At 51.4% G+C, this 26012-nt stretch overlaps 1 protein-coding gene and 1 long non-coding RNA gene across 3 annotated transcripts in view, besides 4 other annotated features; one reads left to right on the top strand and one right to left on the bottom strand.

The window, feature by feature from the left end:
- Positions 1 to 26012, top strand: part of TMEM72-AS1 (TMEM72 antisense RNA 1) — a 148666-nt gene that overhangs the window by 22415 nt on the left and 100239 nt on the right. Inside the window, exon 2 of the long non-coding RNA NR_033842.1 lies at positions 14049 to 14194. This is a non-coding gene — a long non-coding RNA (TMEM72 antisense RNA 1). The remainder of the gene's footprint in view (positions 1 to 14048; positions 14195 to 26012) is intronic.
- Positions 265 to 25938, bottom strand: TMEM72 (transmembrane protein 72). Of its 2 annotated transcripts, NM_001123376.3 has the most exons (5): positions 25693 to 25938; positions 9288 to 9354; positions 5206 to 5277; positions 3499 to 3638; positions 265 to 2619 (listed from the first exon to the last, which is right to left on the bottom strand). In NM_001123376.3, the coding sequence occupies exons 1-5, from the start codon at positions 25760 to 25762 to the stop codon at positions 2141 to 2143; spliced, it is 828 nt and encodes a 275-aa protein (NP_001116848.1). In that variant the 5' UTR covers positions 25763 to 25938; the 3' UTR covers positions 265 to 2140. The 2 variants fall into 2 exon arrangements, with proteins under 2 accessions (NP_001116848.1, NP_001332855.1); NM_001345926.2 differs by lacking the exon at positions 9288 to 9354.
- Positions 1400 to 1694: an enhancer, noted in NCBI's record as "tiled region #7362; HepG2 Activating DNase unmatched - State 5:Enh". NCBI's record gives its function as "activates a minimal TATA promoter and a strong SV40 promoter by Sharpr-MPRA in HepG2 cells {active_cell/tissue: HepG2}" and the evidence as "EXISTENCE:reporter gene assay evidence [ECO:0000049][PMID:27701403]".
- Positions 3501 to 4207: an enhancer, noted in NCBI's record as "H3K4me1 hESC enhancer chr10:45428516-45429222 (GRCh37/hg19 assembly coordinates)". NCBI's record gives its function as "activates a minimal SCP1, AML or CMV promoter by ChIP-STARR-seq in primed H9 embryonic stem cells {active_cell/tissue: H9 hESC(primed)}" and the evidence as "EXISTENCE:reporter gene assay evidence [ECO:0000049][PMID:30033119]".
- Positions 4208 to 4915: an enhancer, noted in NCBI's record as "H3K4me1 hESC enhancer chr10:45427808-45428515 (GRCh37/hg19 assembly coordinates)". NCBI's record gives its function as "activates a minimal SCP1, AML or CMV promoter by ChIP-STARR-seq in primed H9 embryonic stem cells {active_cell/tissue: H9 hESC(primed)}" and the evidence as "EXISTENCE:reporter gene assay evidence [ECO:0000049][PMID:30033119]".
- Positions 19166 to 19347: a silencer, noted in NCBI's record as "fragment chr10:45413376-45413557 (GRCh37/hg19 assembly coordinates)". NCBI's record gives its function as "represses an EF-1alpha promoter that drives an FKBP-Casp9 reporter gene in an ReSE screen in K562 erythroleukemia cells {active_cell/tissue: K562}" and the evidence as "EXISTENCE:reporter gene assay evidence [ECO:0000049][PMID:32094911]".

The raw sequence follows: 26012 nt of genomic DNA, 5'->3' as shown, positions 1-26012 counted from the left end.
TTTAATGATCTCACTCCAGCTTTTTGTTTTTGTTTTGTAGCCATAAGAGTGTTTGAGAACTTTACTAACCTAGGTAAGATCATAATTGTCCTGTAATGCTGCACACCAGCAGACACTCTCTTAACTGATGACAATCTCCAGGAAGCCTATGTGCCTCAGAATTCCATCGCATCATCACTGGAACTCCCGGCACACACTAAGACACCTCCAAAAGGGTGCTCCCAACACACATCTCTAAAACACACCCAAAACAACACTCCACACTTGGGTTTACTGAAGTGTTTATTAAACGGGATCTGACATCTCTGCCATCACACTTTCTGGTTTGCTTCTTGCGATCTGGTCATCCAGCTCTGCTGACTGGGGCTTCGAGGACAGAACTACTCTGATGCAGAGGAACGTCAGAGGCTGGCCATGTCTGTGCCATGAGGGTGTCTGTGGCCATCACATTCCCCTTCCACAGTTGACAGGGGAAAGATGCCTGGCTTCTCTGCACTTAGGCTCTTTCTGTGCACAGGGGGCCTGCCTGAGACACCCGGCCCATCAGCCATGGGGCACGATCCTTGTCTACCACCTACCTATACCCATATCCCATATTGTTCACTATTCCCTGACTGTAGACAGTCAGGTCCTGAGGTCCTGCCTTGATGGCAGCTGAAGAAACAGCTCTGCAGCTCTCACCATCAAGGGCTTGCAGGAGTGTCTTGATTAGCCATTTGTCATTTGGTGAGACCTGGGCTACTGCAGGAAGAGCTCTGCTTATCTGCTTATCAGGAACACCTGCTGCATTTAGGCCCCAAACTGATACTAGCTTCTGGTTGGCCATTATTTTCATACCTTTGTAAAATATCCTGTAGGGAACATTGAAACGTGTGCAAGCACAAACACAAGTTTCTCATTAGACCATAGAGCATGCACTCTAAGGCTTGTTCTACAGAGCTTTGCGTTAGCCTCCACAGGGACTGAGAAGCCACAGGACTCTTCCTCCTGACTGCTCCCTCACTGCAGTTGCCATGAAGAATGGTGTGTGTGCTCTTCCTGGCAACAGCCTCATGGACCCGACAACAATTTTTAGAAGTAAAGCCTATATTGCAAATCCTTTACAGATTTACAAAGGAATATCTGATTCAGATGTCTTTGTTCCTTCTGGGTTAACTGTCACTTCCGTGGCCCCATGGCAGAGAACTTGCCTGCCTGCCCACTTCCTCCTATCCTCCCATTTTCCCTCCTCTTCTTCCCCCCTCACTTCCTTTCATTTTGAAGACATTTATATTTATCACCTATTCTGCTACCAAGTGCCTAAACACGGCACTGACACTTCTCTGTGCTGTGCCACCCCTGGGCAGCCTCTGTGGTCCTGCCCACAGCAGACATTGCCTTCTGGGCCCTGGCATTCACTGCGTTCAGTTTGCATCATCAACCTGGAATCTTGGAAAGGCCATGTGGTAAGGAGGCTGGAAGTCCCCAGCCATGTTTCTGGAATGAGCTTTGCTCATCTGGCCTGGCTTTCCCACAGTGAGCACAGAGCGGCATTGTTTTCCTGAGCAGCTCAGCCCCAGCCCTAGAGCATGCAGAGAATGTGGCCCACGGCCCGGCTGCTCCCACCAGAGGCCTGCAGCCTCCCCTCCCGACCCTGAGCAGTCTTGGTTGGTCAAGACCCACAGCCACCTTCTCTGCCTTAGAGATGCTTAAGTTACTGACACTTCCCTGGGCCTGCAGAGATGGGTGGACCATAGGTTCCTCACTGAGTGTTGTGCCCTGGGTTGGGAGTAAGAAAAGCCCAGAGGCTTTTGCTGGGCAGACATCCTCTGTCCCTTCTGGGCTGAGTCAATGGCACCTGCAGCCTCGTGCGCAGTGGCAGTGATGGTCTTGTTGGGGAAGCATAAGGGTTTCCCCACCTGTGGCCAGGAGGAAGGAGCTTGTGCTGGCTTGAGGTGGCGTGAGCCTTGTTTGTGCCTCCCTCGAGGCCTCTCCAGAAATGCTGGCCAGTCACACCTCCTGATGGCCTCAGGGGCCCAGCCAGTGTGGGGGTGTCTGGTTACCCCTTGAAAAGCTGACCAGAGAAGACCCTGAAACTCCAGGGAGGGCCATTGAGCTAGGTAGACCCCTCACTGAGCGTCCTCCAGGCTGGAGCAAGCGCTCAGAACAGGCCGGTGGCTGTAAGAGATGACAGGAAGAGTGGGGCCTGGGGAGGGGGAATGATGGGTGTCGTGTCAGAGGTGGTCTCCTCTGGCTCACTGTCCCCATCATCCAGACCTTCGGCGAGGGAGGGGACTATGCGGACCAAGTTGTCTTCAAAGTGCACCTGCTTCTTCTTGGCCAGGGAGTCGGCTGGCTCCAGGCTCAGCTCCATCAGGGTGTTGGGGGGCTGGAGGGCACTGGGCTTCTTAGTCCCCTTCAGGATACTCTTCATGTGGATGAAAAGGGAGCTGGGCCCCTCCTTGAGGGCCCCATGGAAAGTGTAGGTTTGCTCTGTGTCCCCAGAGCCGGTGGTGCTCACAGCGCTGCTAGAGGGGTCTGTGTACTGCTCTGGGGAGGCCAGCACCTCGGGGGCAGCTTTCCTCTTCTTCCGCTTGCTCAGAAGGAAGTAGGCCAGGCCGGTGATGATGAGCATGGAGCCTGGAAAAGAGCCAGAGGTCAGGGCTCTAGAGGAGTCACGGAAAAAATCCGGAGTCCTTGCAAGCATGTCGTGCAGCAGAGCTCCTGCAACCCGGCGCTGTGTGGCCATTCACAGGCCCCTGTGGCCCTGGCCCTCTTGCCTGGCTTGTCCTCACACCCCACATCAGATTTGGGGGTCCACTTGGAGGCTGGGATGGGGATGCTAAATGGCAGGAAGGATGGAGGCTCTGCTTTTCAACATGGTCTCCCTGGAGGGCTGTCTTCCCTGTATTGTAGATGGGTTCATGAGGAGGGGGCACAGTTTTCACAGATAGGGAGCAGAGAGGAGAAGGACACTAGCAGAAAAGGTCGTGGATGAAACTGAAAAGGTGGGAGCAAGAAATCCTGGGTTCTCTGACCAGAAACCAGCTGGCCAGTGGTATGCACCCGTGAAGTGGAAGTAGGAGATGAGGCTGTGAAGATTTTCTGGGGTCCCACCCTGAAGTGCCTTTCAAACCAGGCTGAGGAGTTTGGACCTGAATGAGTAGGCACTGGGGAGATTCAGAAGGGTTTGGGCAGGGAAGTGGCCATGTCACACCCTTGGGAAGCTCAGACCACACATGGTCAGTGGGAGGAAAGGTGAGGTCCCCTTTGCGGTTCCACTTCTGTACGGCTCTGTGAAGGAAGGATGCACTTCTTGGGACATTCCTGCCATTTGATCAGCATGGAGTATGTCTGGCATTCCGATGATTCCTCATGTCCACCCTCTAGGTCAGAGAGGGCAGTGGGGCAGGTAAGGTCCCTGGAGCCACCACTGGAGCTAGACTTTGAGGGGCTCAGCTCCTCCTGCTCAGAGTCCACCTGTGCTGGGGCTGCATATCTCTACCCCTGTGCTCTTACCTGGGATGGTCACGTGCCAGACCAGGACCGGGTGGAGGAAGCAGGCCACCGACAGCAGCAGGTAGGCCAGGAACTTCTGGAAGCAGCCCAGCCAGTGGGCTTTCTCCCTTACTCTGTCTGCCAGGGACCCTGGTTGACACCTGGGGAGAGGGAGTCCAGGTTAGCATAATGTGTCCCAGGAAAACCCCAGCAAGACTGGATGCCATGGAGTCTGGGCCAGGCCCTGCTGTGGGCATGCTCTGCAGTGGGCCCTGGCTGAACAGAAAGCCCTAGCGGTCCTTGGTGTGGGTTCCACAATGAGTGGATTTGCCTGAGTCCCTCTAGAGGGTCCACAAGTTTTTGAAAGGCTGCCCAGACCTGTTTTTCTGGTCGAAGGGGAAGCAAGTTAAATGTTCTCAGGATGCTGCATGAGTTAGTGAGGAAGACAGCTGGAGGCTCAGGGCTCACTGGGAAGTCTGCACTAATGCAGAGAAAGTGTGCAGTTTGGGAGCCACCTGCCTGGGACAGTTGTGCTTGTAGTGCACTGCATAAGAGGCTTGGCCAGGTGAGTGAGCAGGCTGGCACCCAGCTGTGCCCTGTTCACCCAGCCTTGCTTAGGCACAGTACAGTGTTGGCCCAGAAGGGCTTCTTTTCTAACTGTATACACAGGGACCACACATAGCCCTGGCAGAAGCCTGATGCTGAGCAGCTTCCTTCAGGGGCGCTGCCTCCATGTTTCACAGGGGGCAAGTGCCTGCCTTTAGACCCAGCGCCTCCATCCTCTGAATTGGCCTAGAGCTGGGGCTCTACACAGCCACATCCTGCCCCTCTAGCTTTGAGGGAGTGCTCAGGCTGTCCAGGTGGCCCAAAGCACTGCTCTCTTATGCTCGCAGGCTGGACTGCCATGGCTCACTGGTGCCCCCTGGTGCCCATTCCTGCGTGTGTGTGGTGGCAGGGTGCGGTGGAGTCCATCCAGGGTCCATTCCTCCCCAGCCTTCTCCCCAGCTGAAGTTTCAAGCACAGCTTGGCAGTGGAATTCAGCAGAAAGGGGAAAGCTTTCTGCCTTAGGGCTGGTGAGCCTGAGAGGCAGCCAGTGGCCTTGCAAGGTGCTGGGACATCTGGATCTGAAGACTGGCTCTCTCACTGACCACCCAGGGACCAGTGTCTAGGTTCTGAGAGCCGCAGTCCTCGGTCTCACCGATAACAGCTTCCACATACTGAGTGTAGGCTGGGAAGCAGCAAGGGCCTCACGAGATCCTGCAGGGTCTGCACTCCTGCCCCACGAAGGGGTGTAGAGACATACTGCCCCTGACTTGCCCCCGGGCCCTAGGAAGAGACAGAGCCAGTTCCCAAACCCAGGTCTGCTCACTCCCAGCTGGGCCTTCTGCAGGGTCCTCACCCCATGGCAGATGGCTCAGACACTGGGGCCCAGTGACTGGCTGCTCCTGGTGAGGGGGAGCTGGACTTTTCTGGGGATTCTGGGCAAGGACAGGCCCTGAATGACTGTGTCAGTTGGTTCTCTTGGTTGGGACCAGGGCAAAGAAGGCAATGGAGCCCCTTGGGCCTGTGCCCACCTCCAGGCCAGGCTGATTGTACCTCGGTGGGGGGCTCCTGTCCACAGTGGCTTCAGGAGCAGGACATCCCCTGGTTGTGGGCTCTTGGGTGGAGACATCTGTGGTGTCTGGGGCTGGGGTGGACAATGGAGGGGTCTCTCTGGAAACTACTTACTGGAAGCAGATGGCCAGCAGCTGAGCCACAAAGTAGGCCCCTTCACATATGGAGACAGCGGCTCCTGTAAACCTGCAGGTGGAGACAGGTGAGGGAGGCTGGCGCCTCTGTCTTCCTTTGCTTTCCTGAGGGCTGTCTTCTCACACGTGGCCTCCTGACATCACATCTACAGCCAATGGACTCACCTGGATTCCCCCAGACAACATTCACCACGGGCTGTCTCCAGGACATGGCGTGTTCCGGACTGGGCCATGCTGGGGAGAGGTGGGGTCTGGGGTTCAGAGATGGGTGGGGAGGGCACCGTGGCCAGCAGGTGACATGGCCTTCACCTGGCACCCTGTGTGACACTGGCAGGCACATCCTTCTACCTGCTGGTCACCAGGATGGACACCCACTGCCTGTGTTCCAGCCTTAAACCTGGACCTGTTCCTGACCCTTTCCTTCTTCCTTTTCCTATTATCCAAATAGTCACCAGGAGCTGTTGATTACATTCCTTCAATACCTTCCAAATCGCTCCTGTTCTCTGACCTCATGGGCATTGCCTGGGTTCAGGCCCTGCCCCCTGGACCCCTGCACCAGTTCCACTTCCTCACTTACCCCAGGCCTGTCTCCTGCTCCCCCACTGTGTCACTCTGGGCTGCCTGACACCTGAATCTGATCATGTTCCTCCTGATACAGGATGCCTCAAAGGCTCCTTGTGCTCCCAGTGTGGTCCATGGATCCTGCAATCAGCATCTCCTGAGGAATGTGTAGAATTCATGGCTCCCAGGCCACCCCTAGACTCACATCAGAATCCTTGGAAATGGAATATGTACTTACGGAGGGTCTCACTGCCTATCCTCCATGTTCCCTTGACAACACAAGAAGCTATCAGGTGCCACAGGGCTTTTGCACAAGTGAGCTTTTCCTGGAAGGCCTTCCCCTTCCCTCTCCAGTCTGTCTGGTGACCTCCTCTTACTTCTCCATGTGGTACCATATGACCAGAGTCACTAGTCTGTGAACCCCCAGAGGGCGTTCCCTGTCTAATTCTTCTGTACAGCCCAGGCTCACAGTGGGTCGGGCTTATTGGGCTCCATTAATGAGCATTGCAATAAATGAAGGAATGAAAGTGGATAGTGTTGTGCAGAAGGTGGCTTGGGGTCAGGGTTTCCTCAGAGCCATGGGTGTTTCTAGATTGTGTGATCACAGGTGAGAGGTGTGACCTTTCTCTGTCTTAGTTTCCTCAGCTGTAAACTGGGGTTATTATAGTGCATCAACAGTAAAACTGTTCTAAGAATTAAATGATATTTGTAAAGCACTTAGGACCATGCTTGGCACACAGTGATTATATCAATTCTAGTTATCATTTCTCTCTCCCTGTGATTAGTTAGATCATTTAGTGATCTCCACTCCTCTCAGTCTCTATGCCTCCCAGTGTGAGCCTAACTCTTACCCCTTGGTTTTAAAATGATAATAACTAACATTTATGTAATGATTGCTATGGGCCAGGCATAATTCTAAAGGCCTTACAAATATCAACTCATTTAGTCCTTGCAACAATTTTATAATAAGTACTATATTATATTATAATAAACACTATAATTACTGTCAGTTTACCGATGAGGAAACTAAGGCACAGAGAGGTTTGCCCCATCACCAATGGCCCCTTATCAGTAGCAGGGGGAAGATCAGAACCTAGCACGCAGGCTCCAGAGCTTGTGTGCCTAACAGGCACATCAAGACGTGTTTTGCAAAATAATTGCCACTGCCTTTTTCTATGCCCTGGGACAGAGGGGTATATCAAGGCTTGGGGAATAAAGCGACTCATTCAGACTTCCTGTCTGGTGCTATTGAGTGGCAGGGAGGGACAGACAGGGCAGGTACTGAGTGCTGATCCTGCAGGTGTTAGAGAACAGGGCACAGCAAGGGGCAGGGGACCCCAGGCTGGACTGGACCACCCAGAGACCACATGGGCATAGGGTCCCCTCAAAACAGAGACAAAACAGGGTTCTGGGCAGAAGGCAGCCTGCATTCACCTGCCATGGCCTGACCCGAGAGTTAGGGACCCACTGGAGAGGAGGAAGGCCCGCCTGCTTCTGGATCCCAGGGCAATGGTGCACAGCGGCTAGGGACATGGTCAGTTAGACACGGAGGGTGTTCAGAACCAGGAGAAGTCACTGCCAGCCAGCAGGGGCTCCAGGCTCAGGGCACAATTGCCAGGGCAGAATGCCAGGAAGGAGTGTCAGGCATTGGGCAGGTGGAAATGGGTGGACGGTGCTTGGGCACCCAACAGAATGAGTGAAGCTTGGAGGCGAGGCCATGCTGGTGAGTTTGAAAAAGAGTCAGAAGCCTCCTGCTGTACATGAGTGGCAAGAAGTGAGGCAGAGGCCAGAATATGGCACAGGGTGTGGACCAGAGGTGGTGGAAGCTCTTGAAGGTTGTCAGAGAGATCTGTGTGTCTAGATGGCAGTGTGGAAATGGGCTCAGAGGCTGAACCGCATCTGGGAGATGGCAGGTGTGAGCCCCCAAACACAGCAAGAGGCCTGCCCTGAGGCGGGAGGGTGGAGGCTGCTAAAAGCACAGGTCAGCTGCCACCTGAAGGTAGAGGTGGATCCTGAGGAGGGGGGGGAGTGGAGGTCACAGCCTGGTGGACCCTGTAGGCAGAACAGGACATTTGTGGGGCAGCCTGGCAAATTGTTATCTGTTGCTTCTCAGTTCAGTAAGCTCTTCAGGATTTGGGGGGCTAGAACACACAGCCTTCCTATATCATTTGGAAGAAACTGCTAGAAGCCCCTCAGGATGGGGCTGCAGAGATGCTGGGGCAGAGACCCAGGTTCTTCTAATCCCCTGGGACACCACTGCACAGGGATCACCTTCCTGCCAGGACACACTTACAGAGGTAGCTGGTAGTGGAGAAGAAAAGACATTGTCTGGGGAAAAAAAGGGTCTTGGGTTTGAATCTGGATCCTGCTGCTCATGAGCTTGGTGATGTGGGCTAACCTGCTTACTCCTTCTGAATTTTCTCATCTGTAAAACTAGGCCAATATGCCCTTCTCCTACAGTGCTGTGAAAGTTAAATAACATAATGCAATTAAGACATTTAACTGTATTTGGCATGTAGAGAAGCTCAAATATATATTTCTTTGACCTGATTCCCCATTCTCTAAACAAGAGCTCAATTAATATTTGCTGAATAAATAAATGATTGATGAGATGCGTGGATGGGTGGGTGTATGGATGAGTAGGTGGATGGATGGATGGATGGATAGGTGGGTGGATGGATGGATGGATAGATGTATGGATGGGTAAATGAATAGATAGATAGATGGGTAGATAGATAGATGGGTGGGTGTATGGATGGATGGGTGAGTGAATGGATGAATAGATGGATGGGTGAATAAATGGATAGGTGGGTGGATGGATGGATGGTTGGGTGTATGGGTAGTTGGATGGATGGATGGATGTGTAGGTGCATAGATGGATGGATAAGCAGGTGGATGGATAGATGAGTGGCTGGCTGGATGAATTGGAAGATGGATGGATAAATGGGTGGGTGGATGGGTGAATGGGTGTGTGTATGTATGTATGCATATATGGGCAGATGGATGGATGGGTGGGTGGATGGATAAATAGATGGGTGGGTGAATAGATGGATAGGCAAGTGGATAGGTAGATGGATGAATAGATGGATGGATGGGCAGGTGGATGAAGAGGTGGGTGGGTAGATGGATAGGTAGCTGGATGGATGTGTGGATGGATGGATAGATGGATAGATGGATGAGTGGATTGGTGCATGAATAGATTGGTGGGTGAGTGGATGGATGGGTGGGCTGACGAATGGATGGGCAGATGGATGGATAGATGGGTGGCTGGCTGGATCAATTGGTGGATGGTTGGGTGGGTAGAAAGGATAATTCATTGATTTATGGGATGGTCTGCACAAACCAGGAGCTATTCTAGAGCCCCCCTCAACTCCCTTCACCCCTGAGATAGGATGGAATTCACATGGGAAGGGGACTGCTCTGAGTTATTCTGAGTAGACAGATGTAGGGTGAGTTGAGCAGAACTTGCAGGTCAAAAGTGGCACATGCACACATACTCACAGCAGATAGAAAGCCAGGCTTTTGAACTGGCCCTGGAGGAAGGTCTCAGTGCCCACGCCGATCAACACTAAGGGGCAAGAGAAGAAGGAAGAGTGGGCCTGGTGCTCTACACCACAGCACTGCCCTGTTGAGGGTACCTTGGCTGTGGAGTGAGTCTTCTTCCTGGGGACTGACAGCCAAGGTAGGTTCTTCTCTTCATGATACAGGCAGCTGTGACTAGCAAGGTGCAAGAGAGCAGGAAGCCTCCTGGATTGCTCCCTGGAACTCCAGGCAGAAGCCCAGAGGTCTTCTGATTAAGCTTCCCCAGAGCAGCCACCCTTAGTGCCCCCAGCAACTGCCCACACTAATGTGGCACCAGCCCCTTGATTCACAGCTGTTCTCTGTCATGTGCTGGGGCCCACCCCAGTGTGTGCTGTGTGTCTGGCTTCAGTGCTTGGCCGTGGATGGGTCCTGCCCCAGCCCTGTTCTCTTGCTTGGGTCACTGGTTGCTGTTGTGTGGCCTTGGTCTTGCTTGCTGAGGGGTGGCGGCAGGTCACACTCATTGCTCATTGCTTTGGACCCAGTGCTGATTAAACTCCTGGGGTTTTTCTCTGACAAGAAAATGTTGCTCAACCTCAGCTCTCCTCCTCCCCTTTCTTGGCAGTTAGTGCTGAACTTTCATCTGTCATAGGTGAATTTCATCTCGGACCTGCCTTTCCAGACTTGCTGTCTCTGGGTGCTCTCCTCACAAGGATTTGCTGGCTCCCATGGCTTCCCACAACCAGCACAGCACGGACCTTTGGAGTCCCCAATAGAAACATTGCAGGGGCAGTGCATCGGCCTGCTGACTAGAAGTCTTTCTGTCCCTAACTGATTACAATGCTGACCCTGTTTCTCTCTGGGCTCTGATGATGCCCCTGCTGTGTGCTGAAGGGTGGCTTCATCCTCTCTTCCTCCCAGTCAAAGATGGTGGGCTGGGCTGTCATCCCTGGCTGCCTGGGGGTGGCCTCTCCTCCCTGCTGCTCGTGGCGCTGCTTCCTGGCTTCTGGTGCTTCCTCTTCCCTGGCAGAGACATTGTGTGGGCTTCCATCGCCTGGTGTCTCAAGCTGAAGGGGGCCCTTCGTCCAATGCTGAAATGCCTCTTCTAGAGAGCAGGGAAGAGCCTTGCACTGAAGCTACCAGCACTCCATCCCTCGATTCTGGGGGTGGGGGGTGGGAGGGGCGATCATGGAGATATGGGGCCGGGGAAAGGGGACAGAGCACTTGGATCTAGGCAGGTGAGAAGAGGCGGTTATGTTTTCTGAGCAATGGATGGAGGGCTCTGGGGCTCCGCTGTGCTTCATGGGCGACTGCCCACATTAACGTGCCACCAGTCCCTTGGTTCACAGGAGGCGGACACCGAGTCTCCCACTCTCTCCAGGTTCCAGCTGCCCTGCTGGCTCACCTGGGGCGAGGACAGATGATGCTAGTGGGCCACATCCCCCTGCAGTGTCAGCCTAACTGAAGAGTCAAAACTTACAGAGCACTTCAGAGCTTCCACACCATGTTGCACACGTCCCGGCCCTTCCAGCAGGCCTGTGGCACAGGAGTCCCACTCTCTCCATTTTACAGAGGAGGACAGTGAGGCTCAGTGGCCTGTGTAGTTCACTCAAGGATACATGCTGGACAGTGAGGGCCTAGAGACCAGGTGGAGGCAGCCAGCTCTAGGTGGTGCGCGGTTTCCTGCTACCCACTGCTTTCCAGCCTGCGTGCGTGCATGTGTGGACACGTGTGTGTGTGTAGGCTTGTGAGTGCATGTATGTGTGAGTGTATGTGTGTGTGTACATGTGTGAGTGTGTGAGTGTATGTGTATATGTGAGTATATATGTGAGTGTGTGAGTGTATGTATGTGTGTATGTGGGTGTGTATGTAAGTTCATGTGTGAATGTATGTGTGAATGTGAGTGTGATTATATATGTGGATGTGTGTGAGTGTGTGTGTGTGAGTGTATGTGTGTGAATGTGCATGTGTGAATATGTGAGTGTGAGTATATATGTGCATATATGTGTGTGAGTGTGTGTGTAAGTGTGTGTGTATGTGTGTGAATGTGCACGTGTGAATATGTGAGTGTATGTGAGTATATGTGTGATGTGCAGGCAAATGGCCATTTATTTGGTTTTCGCCATGTCCTATTATCAGCACCCAGCATTCATTTGCTTGTTTAATCATTGCAGCAGTCCTATGAGAAGGTACTCTTGTTATCCCCACTTTACATAGAGGAAACTGAGGCACACAGAATGTAAGTAATGTAAGTCAAACCAACCAACCAACCACGGATGGAGGCCCAGGTCAGATCCTGAGTTTCAGTCTTTCATTTTCTAGTTCATAGCATAGTCACCCAATCTCTCTGAGTCTCAGTTTCCTCATTATCTCCTGCACACAGTGGTCATGAGGACCGTAGTGAGCTAACTGATACCAAGCGTGTCATGGGTGCTCAGTGAATCACTGGCTGGGGAAGAAGTGCTTCCTGCCCTGGGCCTGGGAAGGGGTGTTCGACTCCAGGCTGATGCCTGCATTGAGCACTCTGTAGGACAGGCATGGGCTCCACTTACGTGACACGTCATGTTGGCCAATTTGCAGGGGGCTTGTGGCAGACGACCAGCAGATGGCAGGAAAGGGTCTTGGGAACTCAGCTTCTTCCCTGACCTGCACCTGTTTGGCATGTGGAGAGCTATTTTGATGCCTTTTGTTTTGCACTCTTTAGACAAACAGAGGGTCAGCGGTCAGAGGGGCATTTGAGGAACACTGTAGAGAGAGTGCTGGTTTGCATAAAAAAAATGGCAACAGAGAAATGAGAGCCGGATGGAAATCCCAGTTCTGTGTGTTATTACATACAAGTGGCAAGTACTTAACTCATCCAAGCTGTGTTTTCTCATCTGTGGAAGGGGCAGAATAAGTTACAACTCACAGTCATTGCTTGGATTGGAGAAAATTGCTTGGATTGGAGTCTGAAATGCACGGCTTAGTGCCTGATAGATGTCAGGTGATCAATGCAAAGAGGTGACTCCTTCCCCCAACTTGGCCCTGGCAGCTTTGCCAGTGTCCAGTCAGCCACTTTGTACTAAGGGGCGTGAGGTCACTCCCACAAGCTCCCTCCAACCATAGCCAGCAGGATTCTGCCTGCCGAGACTGAGGAATGCCACCTGGCGGGAGGAGGAGAGTGTGGGGAGCCAGGAGTATGGCTCCTCAATTTACCCAAGGCGGAAGAGGATCAGTGGGGCGCTCATGGGAGGCTGTAAAGCCCTTTGATATCCAGGCCAACGGGTCACCGCTTTCTGCTCAGTCCTCCCACTTTTGGGGTTCGTGTTCCTGGATGCAGAGCATGCCAGGTTGAAACAACACGGACTCGCACCGAGTCCCTCCTCTGTCCCCTGCTCTGTTTGCCTCTGGTCTCAATGTTCAGGCAGCTCTGCTGGGAGCGGCAGGCCCACCCTCCTTGGGGGGCGGCTCCTGGCCGCTTCTCCGAGGCCCACCTGGTCTTCTGTGGTTACCGGTTGGGCCAGGCACTGGGCTCATGGCTGTGGTATGCTTAGTCCAGCAGGAGAGATGTGATGTGGACTGAGAAAAGTGCATTCAGCGAGGGCAGTAACCCAAGCTGGACGAGGGACTCACCCAGGAGCTCTGGGGCCAGACAGGAGGGGCCACTCGTGGGACTATCAGGGAAGATGAATAACGATGAAGGTAGAGTGGACTAGGAAAGCAGCAGGAATAGACCTGTGCAGATGGAGGGGCCAGGCACTGCAGGGTGTGGGGGCCCCTAACAGCAGAAGCAGGGGCACAGTCGGGGGCAATGGGCAGTGCATGTGGATCAAGGCGACTGTGGGGTTCTTAAATATTGGGCTCTGCAGCGTGAGCAGAAGGGACTCGTGTTTAGATTGGTATTTCAGAAAGCTCCCTGACCCCGTGCAGATGGTGAGAGACTTCAGTGATATTTGGTGGTGGCTGAGGGACAGAGACCAGCTCCAGGTGCTCCTGGCCACTCCCTCTCCCAGCACAGGGTATCTGCTAGTTTCTTTGTTGACTTGGGCTTGAAGCACAGTTCTGGCTGTGGCTCCTGGTGGTGTGGTGCAGGTGGCTTTACTGTCCAGTGGCACAGCAGGGCGCTTGGCATAGAGGCCCAGAAGAGTGGAGGGTCTGTTCTGTCTGGGGACCCAGAGAAGGAGGCTTCCCAGGCATAAAGCAGAAGGCATGCCCTGCCATTGCATGTTGATGTTTGGACTTTATCTGGGCAGTAGGGGGGCAGAGGTGTGGGCTGGCCAGGAGGTGTCTGGGATTGGAAGCTTCCTGGGCATGTCAGCCCTGTTGCCCCTCACTCAGGTGCCACCACACGCCATGTAGACAGTAGGCCCTCTCCATACGTCTTGTTTCCTCTGCACATCTCCCAAGTGGGAACTGCCAACTCTAAGGTCTCCCAGTTTTCTCAGCGATGTGCTGGCTGCCATCTCTCAGGAAAATTGGCTAAGAATGGTTTTGCTGTGAAGACACACCTGCTAATCCCTGAGGAGTGAGACCGACATATTGTGAGGAAGCCCAAGCCAGCCTTGTAGAGAGACTTGTAAAAAGAGAGAGGGAGAAATAAGAGTGAGAGGGAGAAATGAGAGTGAGAGAGAGAAAGAGAGAAAGGAAGAGAAAGAGAGAGAGAGAGAGAGAGAGAAAAAGAGAGAGAGAGAGAGGCACAACAGCCCCAGCTGGTTCAGCATTGCACAGGACAAATGATGGAAGAAGTTATCTTTGACATTCCAGCTCCAGCAGATGTGACATAGACTGGAAGTGATGGACCCAGACAACAATCAGAACCAAAGCACCAGATGAGCCACCTCAGCCACGTGAGCCATGCCAGCCACCCTACCTGTGACCCCATCTGTGGCCCCAGTTATCATGGAGTAGAGGTGAGCCGCCTCCACTGAGTTCTGCCAGAATTTCCGAATCACAAAGTTTTGAGTATAATCAAATGATTGTAGCCTTACATCACTACGTTTTAGAGTGGGCTGTTATGCAGCCATGCAAGGTTAACTGGAAAAGCAGCTAATTCAGTCATCTAGCCACCTGAGGTTTTTGGCATAGAAGTCTCTGTGTCTGGCCTGACGCCTTAGAGTAAACATTATATTGTGACTCCTCAGGAGTAAGCATTTCTGGGTCCTGCAGCACCTGCCCCATAGCCTTGGAGATTCAGGCTCCTAGGAATACAGATGGTGTCTGGGGACTTCCACTGGGTCATGGAATCCTATTGGTGGTTTTATAACTTAAGACTTCATAGAGGATCTGTGGAGGAGAATCCTGTATCATCCAAAGCAGGTCCCTCCCACAGTTGCATTTTGCAAACATTCCCAGTAGAAAAAGTAAAGAAAGCAAGAAGTGAGATTCCTTGCTGCAGGAATTTTGTGAACCGTATCCAACACTCACCCCAGAGAGCCATGTTGGGACTGGCTGTGGAAGCTCCTAGCCTGGTGTGCTAACTGGACTGTACTGGGAACAAAATATTTTTGGAAGGTATCACAGTTCCACATGACATAGATATAGGACCCCAAAGTGTTTTCACACAGGGCCTGGAGTTTCCCAAAAGTTTTTTTTCCAGGGGACTGTTCTCCAGAATTGGCAGGAGGTGAACATGAAGTGTGGCCTGAAATTTAGTGGGGGCTTGAATGAAGAATGGGATTGTCACAGGTAAGAAGGAGCTCCTCTCCAGTCTGCTGAGCGTCTGTTCCCGGAGACTGCACAGGTGGGCCCCCGCCCTCTCAAAGGCCTCACTTCAACCTGTGGATGAGGACAGCCCACTCCTTGTTTTGTGGAATTGGACCTTAGGTTTCTGCCAGGTTTCAGATTTAGGCGGGGCTCTCTGTTAAACACAAAGAAGTTATGGCACCCGGATAACTAGGAGCAGAGTGGGCCCAGAAGGACACCAGGGCTCAAAATTAGGGAGGCACACCTCCTAAAATTACAGAGGTGCTCATTCATTAAGGAGGTGTTCTCCCTAAGACTAAGAAGATATTTGCCATTAAATTAAGGAGGTGTTCTACAATGAAGGAGGTGCTCCTCTTAAAATTAAGGGGGCCCTCATTGTAATTTAATGTGGCCTTCAGTCTAAGCCCAAGGTGGTACTCCCTCCCTCAGGCGCAGTGTAGGCCCTTCGTGGGCCCTGAGAGTGGTAGCTCTGGCCCTGGCATCTAGAGATTTGGGAGGCCCAGAGTCTGAGGGCTTCTAGCTCCTCTTGGAATTTAGCCTGCGCTCTGGCCTTCCATACTTCTCACAGGGCAGTGGGGCTGGTGTCTTGGAAGCTCTGCCTTCACAGGGTGCTAGTCCAGTGTGGAAGTGGTTGGCCTGAATCAGCAACTCACTGGAACAGATACCCCCAGGGCATTACCCTGAGCTGGGACCAGGGACTGAAGAGCTGATTTTTGGATTAGCTGATCAATGATCAGGAGCCAATCAATGGAGACAAACAATGGGACAAAGGCCCTGCTACCCGCAGAATCAGAGCCTCATGACACCAAATTCTCTACAAGAAATAATCGCCCTGAGATGTGCTTCAGTCCGGCTGTGCTGTCTTTCCTGCCCAGGTGGAGGGGCAAGGGAACACTGAACAGCACTGCTTGACACGGCCATTAGTGGCCTTTGACTCCTTCCATCCCTCCCTATTATCCCACCTCAGGCTCCCCAGCTACTCTCACCCCAGCCCAACAGAGGTACCTTATGCCCACTCCAGCACAGCTCACCCCACGCCTCTGTCTCACTCCCTGCATGATCCCAGGAGGTGCCTTGCATCGCACCTTGATGGAGCCATTCATGGACAAGCCTGGCCTCTCTCATCTTGTTAGCTCCTTCCCTCCAGTCTCTGTCCCTCCTGTGTGGGCCAGATCCAACCTTGGTACAAGAACTTTCTTCTCTCAGGGTCCAGGGCTTGCTTCTGTGTTGCTTTCCTGAGCTGTTTGTTGTAGTTCAGGCTTAGCAGAGATCAGAGATCCTGGGCCAAGAGCCTGTGGTACAGCCCTGGGCAGGGCAGCCACTGTGTGAGTATCCTTCTCATCCTGGAGCTCTGGTCTCAGCATGGGTTGACGAAAGCTAGGAGGGGGCTGCACCAGAGCAGAAAGAATATGGGGCCTGCATCAGAAAAGCTGAGTCCTGCATCCTCAGGAAAGTGATTAACTCTTTGGTCTGCATCTTATTCTGGAAAATGGGGAAAATAAAAACATGCAAAATGGTGCCGACCACTGCTCAGTCTAAGTAAATGAGAGTGCTGCACAAATGCAGACGATGGCTAGGAAAGCTATTATAAGAGGCAGGCGGTTCCCATCAGTATTCTCCAGTGGAAGGAGAGGGTTTATTCTCATCCTTTGCTCCCATTAACACACTTGTGGGTTTTTTTGTGGCCAAAAAGCTGTTCCCTGTGCACCAGTGTTGCTTGTTGTTCACTAATTTACTTTGAGGTCCCTTCTCAAAGCCCAGTTGGGATATAAGTGACCCAAACTCCCATCTATCTCCACATCTCTTGTATTAGCCCTCCATAACCCTGCTAGGGTCCCCACGGGGCTCAGGCCAGCATGTTCCTGAGGCTGGGGCCATCTGCGGGGCTGCCTACTGAGGGGATATTCCCCTGGCCTCAGGCTGCTGCTGCTTTTGCCATAGGGCTGACCTCATGATCCACTGTTGCTTATCCGTTCTGACTCCATGGGTTGAATTGTGACATATGTCTTGCATTTATTGTGATGCCCTTGGTGGTAACATGGGACGCTTCACAGTCATCAGAGGCCACACTAACCTTGGCACTGGATGCCCTGGGCATTGGATGAGAATTTTGTACTCACTGTTGCTGAGGGCAGCCTCCGAACCCACCGCGTATATTTATTGCTTCTTTTCATTCTCATCTCCTGCTGGACTCAGGGTGTCCAAAGACACCTCAGGGAAAGACGCTCCAGGCTGATGACAATGGGCGTGGATGGTCCAGGAGAGGTGGTCACCGCCAGGGTAGAGGTGAAAAGCTAGATTTGTACCATTTCCAAGACTATGGAGTTGCTGGAAACAGTTGCTGTGAATTCACTGGGACAGTAAGGTAGTAGCCACAGGCTTCTTAGCTCAGAAGTTGTGGCAAACAGTAAGCATGGTGGGGAGGTTTACCTACGTGTGGAGATCAGTTCAGCTGATATACATGAGCCAGGGTTCAGAGACAGTGTGGGAAAAGGGAAGGATTTCATGGCAGATATTTCTGGACATTCAGTTGGAAGAGACTTCAGATTGAGCTCCTATTGAAACTGTATAGCAATTTGGGGGAGAACTGATGTCTTAACGATATTGAGCCTTCTGACCCATCAACAAGATGCATCTCCATTCATTTAGATTTTCTTTGTTATCTCTCAGCAATGTTTTCTAGTTTCTAGTGTAGTTTGTTTTACATCTTTTGTCAGATTTATCCCTAAATATTTCGGATTTTCAATGCTATTATAATTTGTATTTTTAAAGATTTCATTTTCTAATTGTTTGTTGCTAATGTATGGAAATACAGTTGATTATTATATATTAAGCTTGTCTTCTGCAATGTTGCCATTCCCTCCATTAGCTCAAGTAGCTTTTGGGGTAGATTCTATTAGATTTTCTACAGATGATAACGTCATCTGTGAATAAAATTTTTCTTTTTCCTGGACAATCTGTATGCATTTTGTTTCTGTTTCTTGCACTGGCTAGAACCTCCAGTACAATGCTGACTGGACGTGGTAGAGTGGACACCCTTGCCTTGTTCCTAATCTTAGGAGGAAGCACCTGGTCTTTTACATTTAAGTAGATGTATGTTTTCTGTAATGACCTCTTAAGGTTGAGGGAGTTTCCTTCTGTTACTAGTTTGCTGATGATAGTTTTATTTTAATCATAAAAGAATGTTGGATTTCGTTTAAAACTTTGTGTCTATTTAGATGATAATATGGTTTTTCTTTTTTAGTTTTTAAATATGATGTCTTAGTCCATTTCGGCTGCTATAACCAAATCCCATATACTGGGTACCTTATAGACAACAGAAATTTATTTCCTACAGTGCTGGAGGCTGGGAAATGCAAGATCAAGATGCTGGCAGATTTGGTATCTGAGGGACCCCTTCCTTATAGAAAACTGTCTTCTCACTGTTACCGCACATTGTATGATAGAAGGGCCTAGGGAGCTCTCTCAGGTCTCTTTTATAAGGGCATTATTTCCATTCAGAGAAGGCCCTACCTCCTAATACAATCATGTTGGGTGTTAGGATTTCCACATATGAATTTGGCTGGGGGGACACAAACATTTAGTCCATAACACATGGTAAGTTACATTAATTGATTTTTCAAATATTAAAACAACCTTGCATTTCTGAGATGAACTCCACTTGATTATGATATATCATTCTTTCAATATATTTGTATTTGTTAAAACTTTGCTTAGAATTTTTGCATCTATATTGAGAAGAATATTAGTCTATAGTTTTCTTGTAATATCTTTGGTTTTGGTATCCACATAAATACTAATTTTATAGAATGAGTTGAGAAGTATTGCCTCCTTTCAAATTTCTGGAAGAGTTTGTGTGGAATAGATATTTCTTCCTTAAGTGTTGGTAGAATTCACCTGTGAGGCCATCTGTGCTGATACCCCACTCTTTGGTGATGAGGAAGGACTCTGCAGACCCATATGGTTCATTGGCACTACTGAGGATAGTGTCTCCCACGTAGAATAGCATCTCCCTTGTAAGTACCCTGGTATGGTTTGGCTGTGTTCCCACCCAGATCTCATTTTGAATTCCCACCTGTTGTGGGAGGGACCAGCAGGAGGTAATTGAATCAGGGGGGCAAGTTTTTCACGTGTTGTTCTCGTGATAGTCAATAAATCTCAAGAGATCTGATGGTTTTAAAAAGAGGAATTCCCCCACACAAGCTGTCTCTCCTTGCCTGCTGCCATCCATGTAGGATGTGACTTGCTCCTCCTGGCCTTCTACCATGATTGTGAGGCTTCCTCAGCCACATGGAACTCTAAGTCCAATTAAACCTCTTTCTTTTGTAAATTGCCCAGTCTTGGGCATGTCTTTATCAGCAGTGTGAAAACAAACTTATACAGGCCCACAGGAGAAATTTCTTTTAGGTCTCAATGTCAGGGAGAACCGAGGTATTCACTTCCTATTCCTTCTCAGTGTTCAGGGAGAATGCATCTGCTCACTCATCCACATGGCAGGTTTCCAGAAAGCATTGTCCATGCTCCCATTGTTCTCTGTCCATTCCACACACATCAGGCTTCTTCATCTGACCCTTACCTGGTCTCCTGGGGGTTTCCTGAGCCCCTTCTTCACAGTGTCAGCCACTTATGTCAGACAACATTTCTTTTTGTTCACAGCCCTCTTCAGAAGGCTGAATAGAACCCAGGACAATCTTGAAAGAGCTGTCATCCCATGAAAAATAAAACAGGGCTGCCATCTTTCCTCTGGTTGGCTTACTATATGTGGTGTAGAAATAGCCAAGTTCCTGTGGGCTGATCTTCACAACCCAAGCTCAGAATGTGATGGGAAATGTTTCCCAGTATAATGCTCTTTACAGTGTAGCCCCTTCCTCCTTCCAGCCTCATGAGTCACATACTGCTTTGCTCCTTTCCTCGGATCTTCCTTCTTCTTCCTTCCAACAAAAGGAGCTGATAACTCATGCTACACAGTTCCATGCCCTGCACGTTCCTCTAAAATTAGCCCATGCTGAGTGAGAATCTATGTGCCAGGCAGCTTGCTACTTTAGCCATTGTTTCATTGAGCCCTCACAACTCCAGAGGGTAGATACAGTGATTGTCCCAGGACACAGACCCACCTCCCAAACACTACGCTGCAGTGCTTGGTGCTCGGATGTGCACTTACTAGTTTGCTTCTCTGTCCAGCCCATACACTCCCACAGGGCAAGGTCTTGCCATTCTAATCCATGTGTCTATGCTGCATGACTGGGGACTCAGGACTGGGGATGCAGGACTGGACTGCATCCTGCATCTTGGGGTCATCAAAATACTATGGGACATGCTTTTTAATCCTGATTCAGGTGGAGGAAATAGCGATTAGGAGTGGAGTCTCAGGAGCAGATCACTGGGGACTCAGCAACAGTTTGCCAAGTAAATGAAACCTAATTGAAGTTTCAGATTTCTTGTTATAAATCTAGAAGCAAGGCACAGGCACAAAGTTGTGAAAAAAGAAATGTTTGAACCAAATCCTATTGCCTGTTGGTGGTAGGTGGGGGGAACAGAGGGAGGCAGATTCCATTTACTTGTGGAGCCAATTGTAACAGAAAAGGAAAACAGTCAACATTCACTTGGAAGGTCTGAAAATACAATGTGGGCTCACTTGGGTGATAAATCTCTTGCGAGGCGTTGGAGTGCATGACACTTTCTTAAACAGCAGGAGGTGGTCATGGGGATATACATGTAAGAGGGGTAAAATTAGCATGGAGGGCCCAAGATGGCTGCTTCAGAAGCATTTGTTTTCCTGAAGGCTTTGAACAGGGCTAAGGTCAAACTATGCATTTGCTCTATCCTTTAAAATATAATGAGAACAGCTGGGTTTTAAATACTTCTTTTCTCCTAATGTACATTAATAAGCCAATGCTCTAACTGTGTGGGAAGCATGGGAGCAGTTGAAAATGTGGCTGTGTCCATTATATAGAGAAACAGGTTAATGGGTCAAAACCTGGAACAAAATAAAACCCCTCAGTGATTCCAGGTTGATTCCAAGCACTCAATTTGTGAGAAACAGCACGTCAGCCTGACAAGCAGAGTTCACTCAGAATGGCTTTGCCTCCATCCCCTCATGCCCTGCTGGCTCTGCCATGCCCTTTGCTTTGGAGCTGCCATAACACAGCCCTGTGTTTGGGCAGAGTGGAGTTCTAACACCGGACCTCTGTCTCCTGGCCATGTGACCTCTGCCAGGTTACCTCAATGTTCTGAGCTTCAGTTTCCTCATTTGTAAAATAGGACTGAGCCCAGCACTCTAGCGTCTCAGGCATTTGTGGGGCTGGAGCGAGACAATGACCATAATGCATGCAGTCAGCCCTGCACCTCTGGACCCATCAAGGCAAGCCCTACTGTGATAGTTCCCCCTGGAAATGTGTGCAGATTTGTCTGTCCCCAGATGGGTTCCAGGAGCAGATTTGGCTAGAGAAGGTCACGGTGGTGCTGGTTAAAGCATGTGTGGCAATCTTGAGATAGAGAATGGATAGCTGCAATGAATATCGGTGTCTTGAGATTTAGAAAGTGTTTGGTGATCCTTGACTATGTGCTTCACTGTACGTGTGTCCTCACCATGACCCCACCTGACTGATCAGAACTGACCAAGGGCAGGAGCATGAGGGTAGAGGATGGGGAAGTTCTGATCAAGCCTCTCCTGCTCTCCTCTGTGTGTTTTGCATCCTGCATCTTGGGGTCATCAAAATACTATGGGACATGCTTTTTAATCCTGATTCAGGTGGAGGAAATAACGATTAGGAGTGGAGTCTCAGGAGCAGACCATCATCAGGTGGAACTTTGTCTTCTTGCTTCCTGGTGTGAGACCCTGAGCAAGATGCTTCGCTCCATCAGGCCTCGGTTTCCCTTCCTGTACAGTGGGTATGAGGATGAACATGATGATGCTCCCAATGACAGGAGGATGAAATGCGATACTGCATTTAAAATACACAGTGCAAAGCTTGGGCTTTGAGTATTATTTGAGTAAATACTCAAATAATCATGTTCATTCTCAGCAACCTCTGCTCTGGGCAGAGGCTGGAAGAGTGAAATTCAGCCCTGGAGATGGGGCAGTGGGGCCTCAAGCTGGAGCCTCTTTGCTCTGAGGGAAATTGGGAGGCCTTGCTCAAGTGCCCAGAGACATTTTCTGAGCAAGCCTCTTATGGGGAAGCCCATGCACATCTGTGTGTGAGGACACAGCCTGAGGGGAGGGCTTTCACTACAAGGCGGGGCTCAGGGACATGTCTCCCCTTCCCTCCATGCCCAGCCTGGACGGCCTGAGAGGTGCCTCCTCTGTCCCACAAAGGGGGCTCTTCCCATGCTCTTCCTGGCCACCTCAGCAGGGGCTGGGGAGTGGCAAAGGAGTTATTCAAGATTCCCCTGAGGTTAAAGGGTAAGAGGATGGCTGAAGTTCAAAGGGAAGCCAACCCTGCTTTCCTAGCCTGCAACTGGGACCAATGCTGTGGGACAGGTCCTTTCTCATCTCACAGGGGAGGAGTGCCCTGGACCGCTGTGCTCCAGGCTCAGTTAAATCCATTTCCCAGGACCCCTTTCCTGCCATTTGGTCTGTGCTGAGAACCTGTCACAGGGCTGAGCCTCCTCTGGGGCCTGAGTCTCACACTCAGGACATCTTTACCCTGTCTCTAGTGGACACGGGGAGAACCTGCTTTGAGGGATGGACAGGCAGGAGCTCCGGCATCCGCACAGGGGAATGTGGAGTGCTCACAGCCTGTGTGCCATTTCCCAGCTGTGTCTGCTTCCATGGGCGGCAATGGATGCCGCGTCTCAGCAACTGAGGCACTTAGACATCACACGGGCGCATGCATGCACATGGACCCATGGGCGCCTGCCCCCCAACCCCACATCCTGAGCCAGGGAGGTGAAGCAAATGAACCCGGTGTAAACAATGCGGGAGTGGTCTGTTATGTCCTGGAAACCACATGACTGCTCCAGAGGGAGGGAATTTTCTAATTTTAGAAACACTTCCACCCAGGTGCAACTACCTGAGGCCTGTTTATCCCAATTTGGTGGTGGCAATGATCCGTCTGTGCTCTACAACCCCTCATGATATGGGGCTGGACACTGAGGTGGGGCAAGAATGGTCTGCGGGACTTCGAGGAATCCTAAGGAGGCTTCATCCAAAGGCTGTGGCTTCATCCACAGTCATAGGGCCTTGACATGCTGGCAGAGGCACCCACCAGGTGCCGTCAGTGCTTTTGACAGCCCTGATCCTGTCTGCAGGGGGTCCAGGGAAGAGGCTGCTAATGAGAGGCTGTAGCCTCTTAGCAGCTGCCTGGTCCCTGCAGGTGACACTCTGAGTGCCCTTGGGTCACATGTCTTCCTAGCTTTTAAGAAATCCACACTCCCCACCTCCCTAGGGTTTCTGCAAAGTGAGGCCCTCTATTTCCGGTCTTATTTCCTCTCTAGCAGCAGTGCCCTTGTAAATGAAGCCTGGATTTCTCAACAGAAGATTTCAACAAAAGAGAGGCTTAGGAGAATAAGGAATTTGCAAATCCTATGTACTGGAAATAGGCCAGGAGTTCAGTGATGCTGGAAGAAACTCGAGATTTGCCCAAGAACACCAAACCCCTCTCTCTAGCCTCCCACTCCCTCCCAGCACTCTAGAAAGCCCGAGCAAGATCATTTGAAAGCCTGGCCATTAGAAGGGAGCTCATGGCTATTTTTAGTCTGAATCTCCTATCAAAACCAAGAGGGAGGCCCATTCTCAGCATTAACAGCAGTCCCTGTGCGGAGATAAAGGCTGTGGTTAAGACGAGCCCTATGTGCGCGCGCACGGGTTTGTGTGTGTGTGTGTGTGTGTGTGTGCGTGCACATGGGAGTGTCAGGGGCTGCAGACTCTTCCGGTGACTGAGATAAATCAGACTGTTAAACTGTCTCTAGCTAATCCATTAGAAGGATAGGTACATACATCTTAGAACAGCCTCTCGACGGGAGGTGGGCCTCAGCTCTGGGTGGAGTGTGGCTGGGGGAACTGTGGGATTCTTGGCATTTTACAGATTTGGAAACCAAAGCCTAGAGGGAGCAGGGTGGACTCAGATCAACAGACATGGAAACCTATTTAGGGTGGCCTTCCTCTCCCCAGGATGGCTTTTTTGCTTGTTGGGGGTCTTGGCCATCATTCTCTTATGTGTAGACGACAACGTGGTTCTGAAAGTGGCTGGATCTGGCTCCTCCCTCAGTGCCTCCACTCAGAGCCTCAGCAGAGCAATTCTGAACCTCTTCCTGCTGCCTACTCTGGAAGACAGGGAAGGTTTTGGCCAGAGCCCTGGCCTTTGTGAAAGTTGAAGGACCAGGGCTCCGGGCTGGCTGTCCCTCTGACCATGACCTTGGGCAAGGTCACCACCTGCATTTGAGCTCAGGTGCCCCATCCTGTAGCAGGAGGGGTGGGGTTAAACCATCCAGCAGCCCTTCATGATCTAACTCATGGCCTAGATGCTGGAAGAGCCCACTGGCCAGCTCACGGCTGAACCCAGCCCAGTGCTCCTGAAATGACCCAGCTTCCCATTGAGCTCTGGAGTGTGTCATGGGGGCTTCTGCTGAGAGGTTTTCATCCTCAGTTCCACTTAGCCATGCTCAGTTCCTGCATCCTTAATCTGTCCAAACACCTGGCCAGCAGGTCCCCATCATACAGATCAGAAAGTGCAGCCTCAGAGGGGTCAGGGGCTCCCCAAGGTCATATATCACGCAAGTGACTAGGCTGGGGCAGGAACAAGCACTATGTGATTTTGACCTAGGAGAACTTTCCCATTTGGTAAGACCCGTGGGTAAGCTTTTGCCCAGTGGTGGGGAAGGGCTTTGATAGGGGGTGTGTCTCTCTTTGTCCCCAAGGGACAATGTGGCTCAGAGTTAAGGGCTCAGAATTCTGCCTGTTCATTTCCCCAAAACAGATCCTGGCTCTGTAGGGGGAATGGGGCTAAGGGTCAGGCCTGCCCTGGGGAAGCGAGCAGGCAGGGCTCAGGATGGTGGCTCTGGGCTCTGCTCTAACAGTCTGCCCTCCTGTCCAGTTGAGCAGCCCTGTGATTCTGCTGGGTGAAGGAAGGAGCCCAGCATCTCTGGGAAGCATCTCTGCTGCTAAGACCACAGTGCATTCCTGCAGTCAGACCTCAGACAGGGGTCTGGGTTCCTACAGGGTGTTCTGTTAACAGGGTCCAGCATGGGCCCGAGGGAAGCCTGTGATCTCCACGTCCAGCCAGGCTCAGCCTGTCCCTCCAGGGCAGAGCTGCTCATGACTGGGAGTTCTCTCTCCATGAGGTAGGGCTATGGTTTGAGTAAAGCAGGATGAGCTCAGTTGACCTTTTGTAGATACACAGCGAAGCCCAGCCCTTTCTATCTTCACCTTCTGTCTCCACCTCCATCTCATGACAACTCTCTGCGTAGGTGGGGTGGCCCCTGGAATCATTTTGCAGATGAGGATCTTGAGGCTTCCCAAGGTCACAGGGAGGGTGACTTGCCAAGCAAAGATCCAGCACCCAGCCCTCTGGTCCCCAGCCCTAGGCTCACCCCACTGCACTTGCTGCTGCTCTACAGAGCAGTGTTTCTAGGGGTCTTGGGAAAAAAATTGAAGCACAGAAGTGGCCAGATGTGCCTGCTGTCTCCTGGCCACCTCCCACCCCTCAGGCAGCCCTATCTGTGGTGCCAGTGTGCAAGGATCAGCAGCCAGGAGGCAGGGTCTTACCTGCAGCAGTGGTGATGCCCAGGAGCCGGCAGGTGTATTCCAGCCCAGTCCAGAACACCTGGAGCTGCATGGTGCCAGGGGTGAGGACAAAGTCCTGGCAGGGCAGGCAGCAAAGTCTTCGGCCCTGAGATGCTCCCGAACACCCTTGTGTAGGTAGGAGGCTGCTGGCTGTGGCTGCACACCGGGGCCCTGCCTTCCCAAACCAGTCCTGGCCACCGCAGCCTGGCCGAGGTGTGAATAGGGCTCACCTTCTGTGCTCTCAGCCCGTGCCCTTGCCAGGCACTCAGCTTAATCATTACCTTGGAAGAATGCTCCTGCTG

Source organism: Homo sapiens, chromosome 10, assembly GCF_000001405.40.
Source record: "Homo sapiens chromosome 10, GRCh38.p14 Primary Assembly".
NCBI classification, from domain to species: Eukaryota; Metazoa; Chordata; class Mammalia; order Primates; family Hominidae; genus Homo; species Homo sapiens.
The sequence above is the reverse complement of the archived record's forward strand: the minus strand, read 5'-3'. Positions and strand labels throughout refer to the sequence as shown.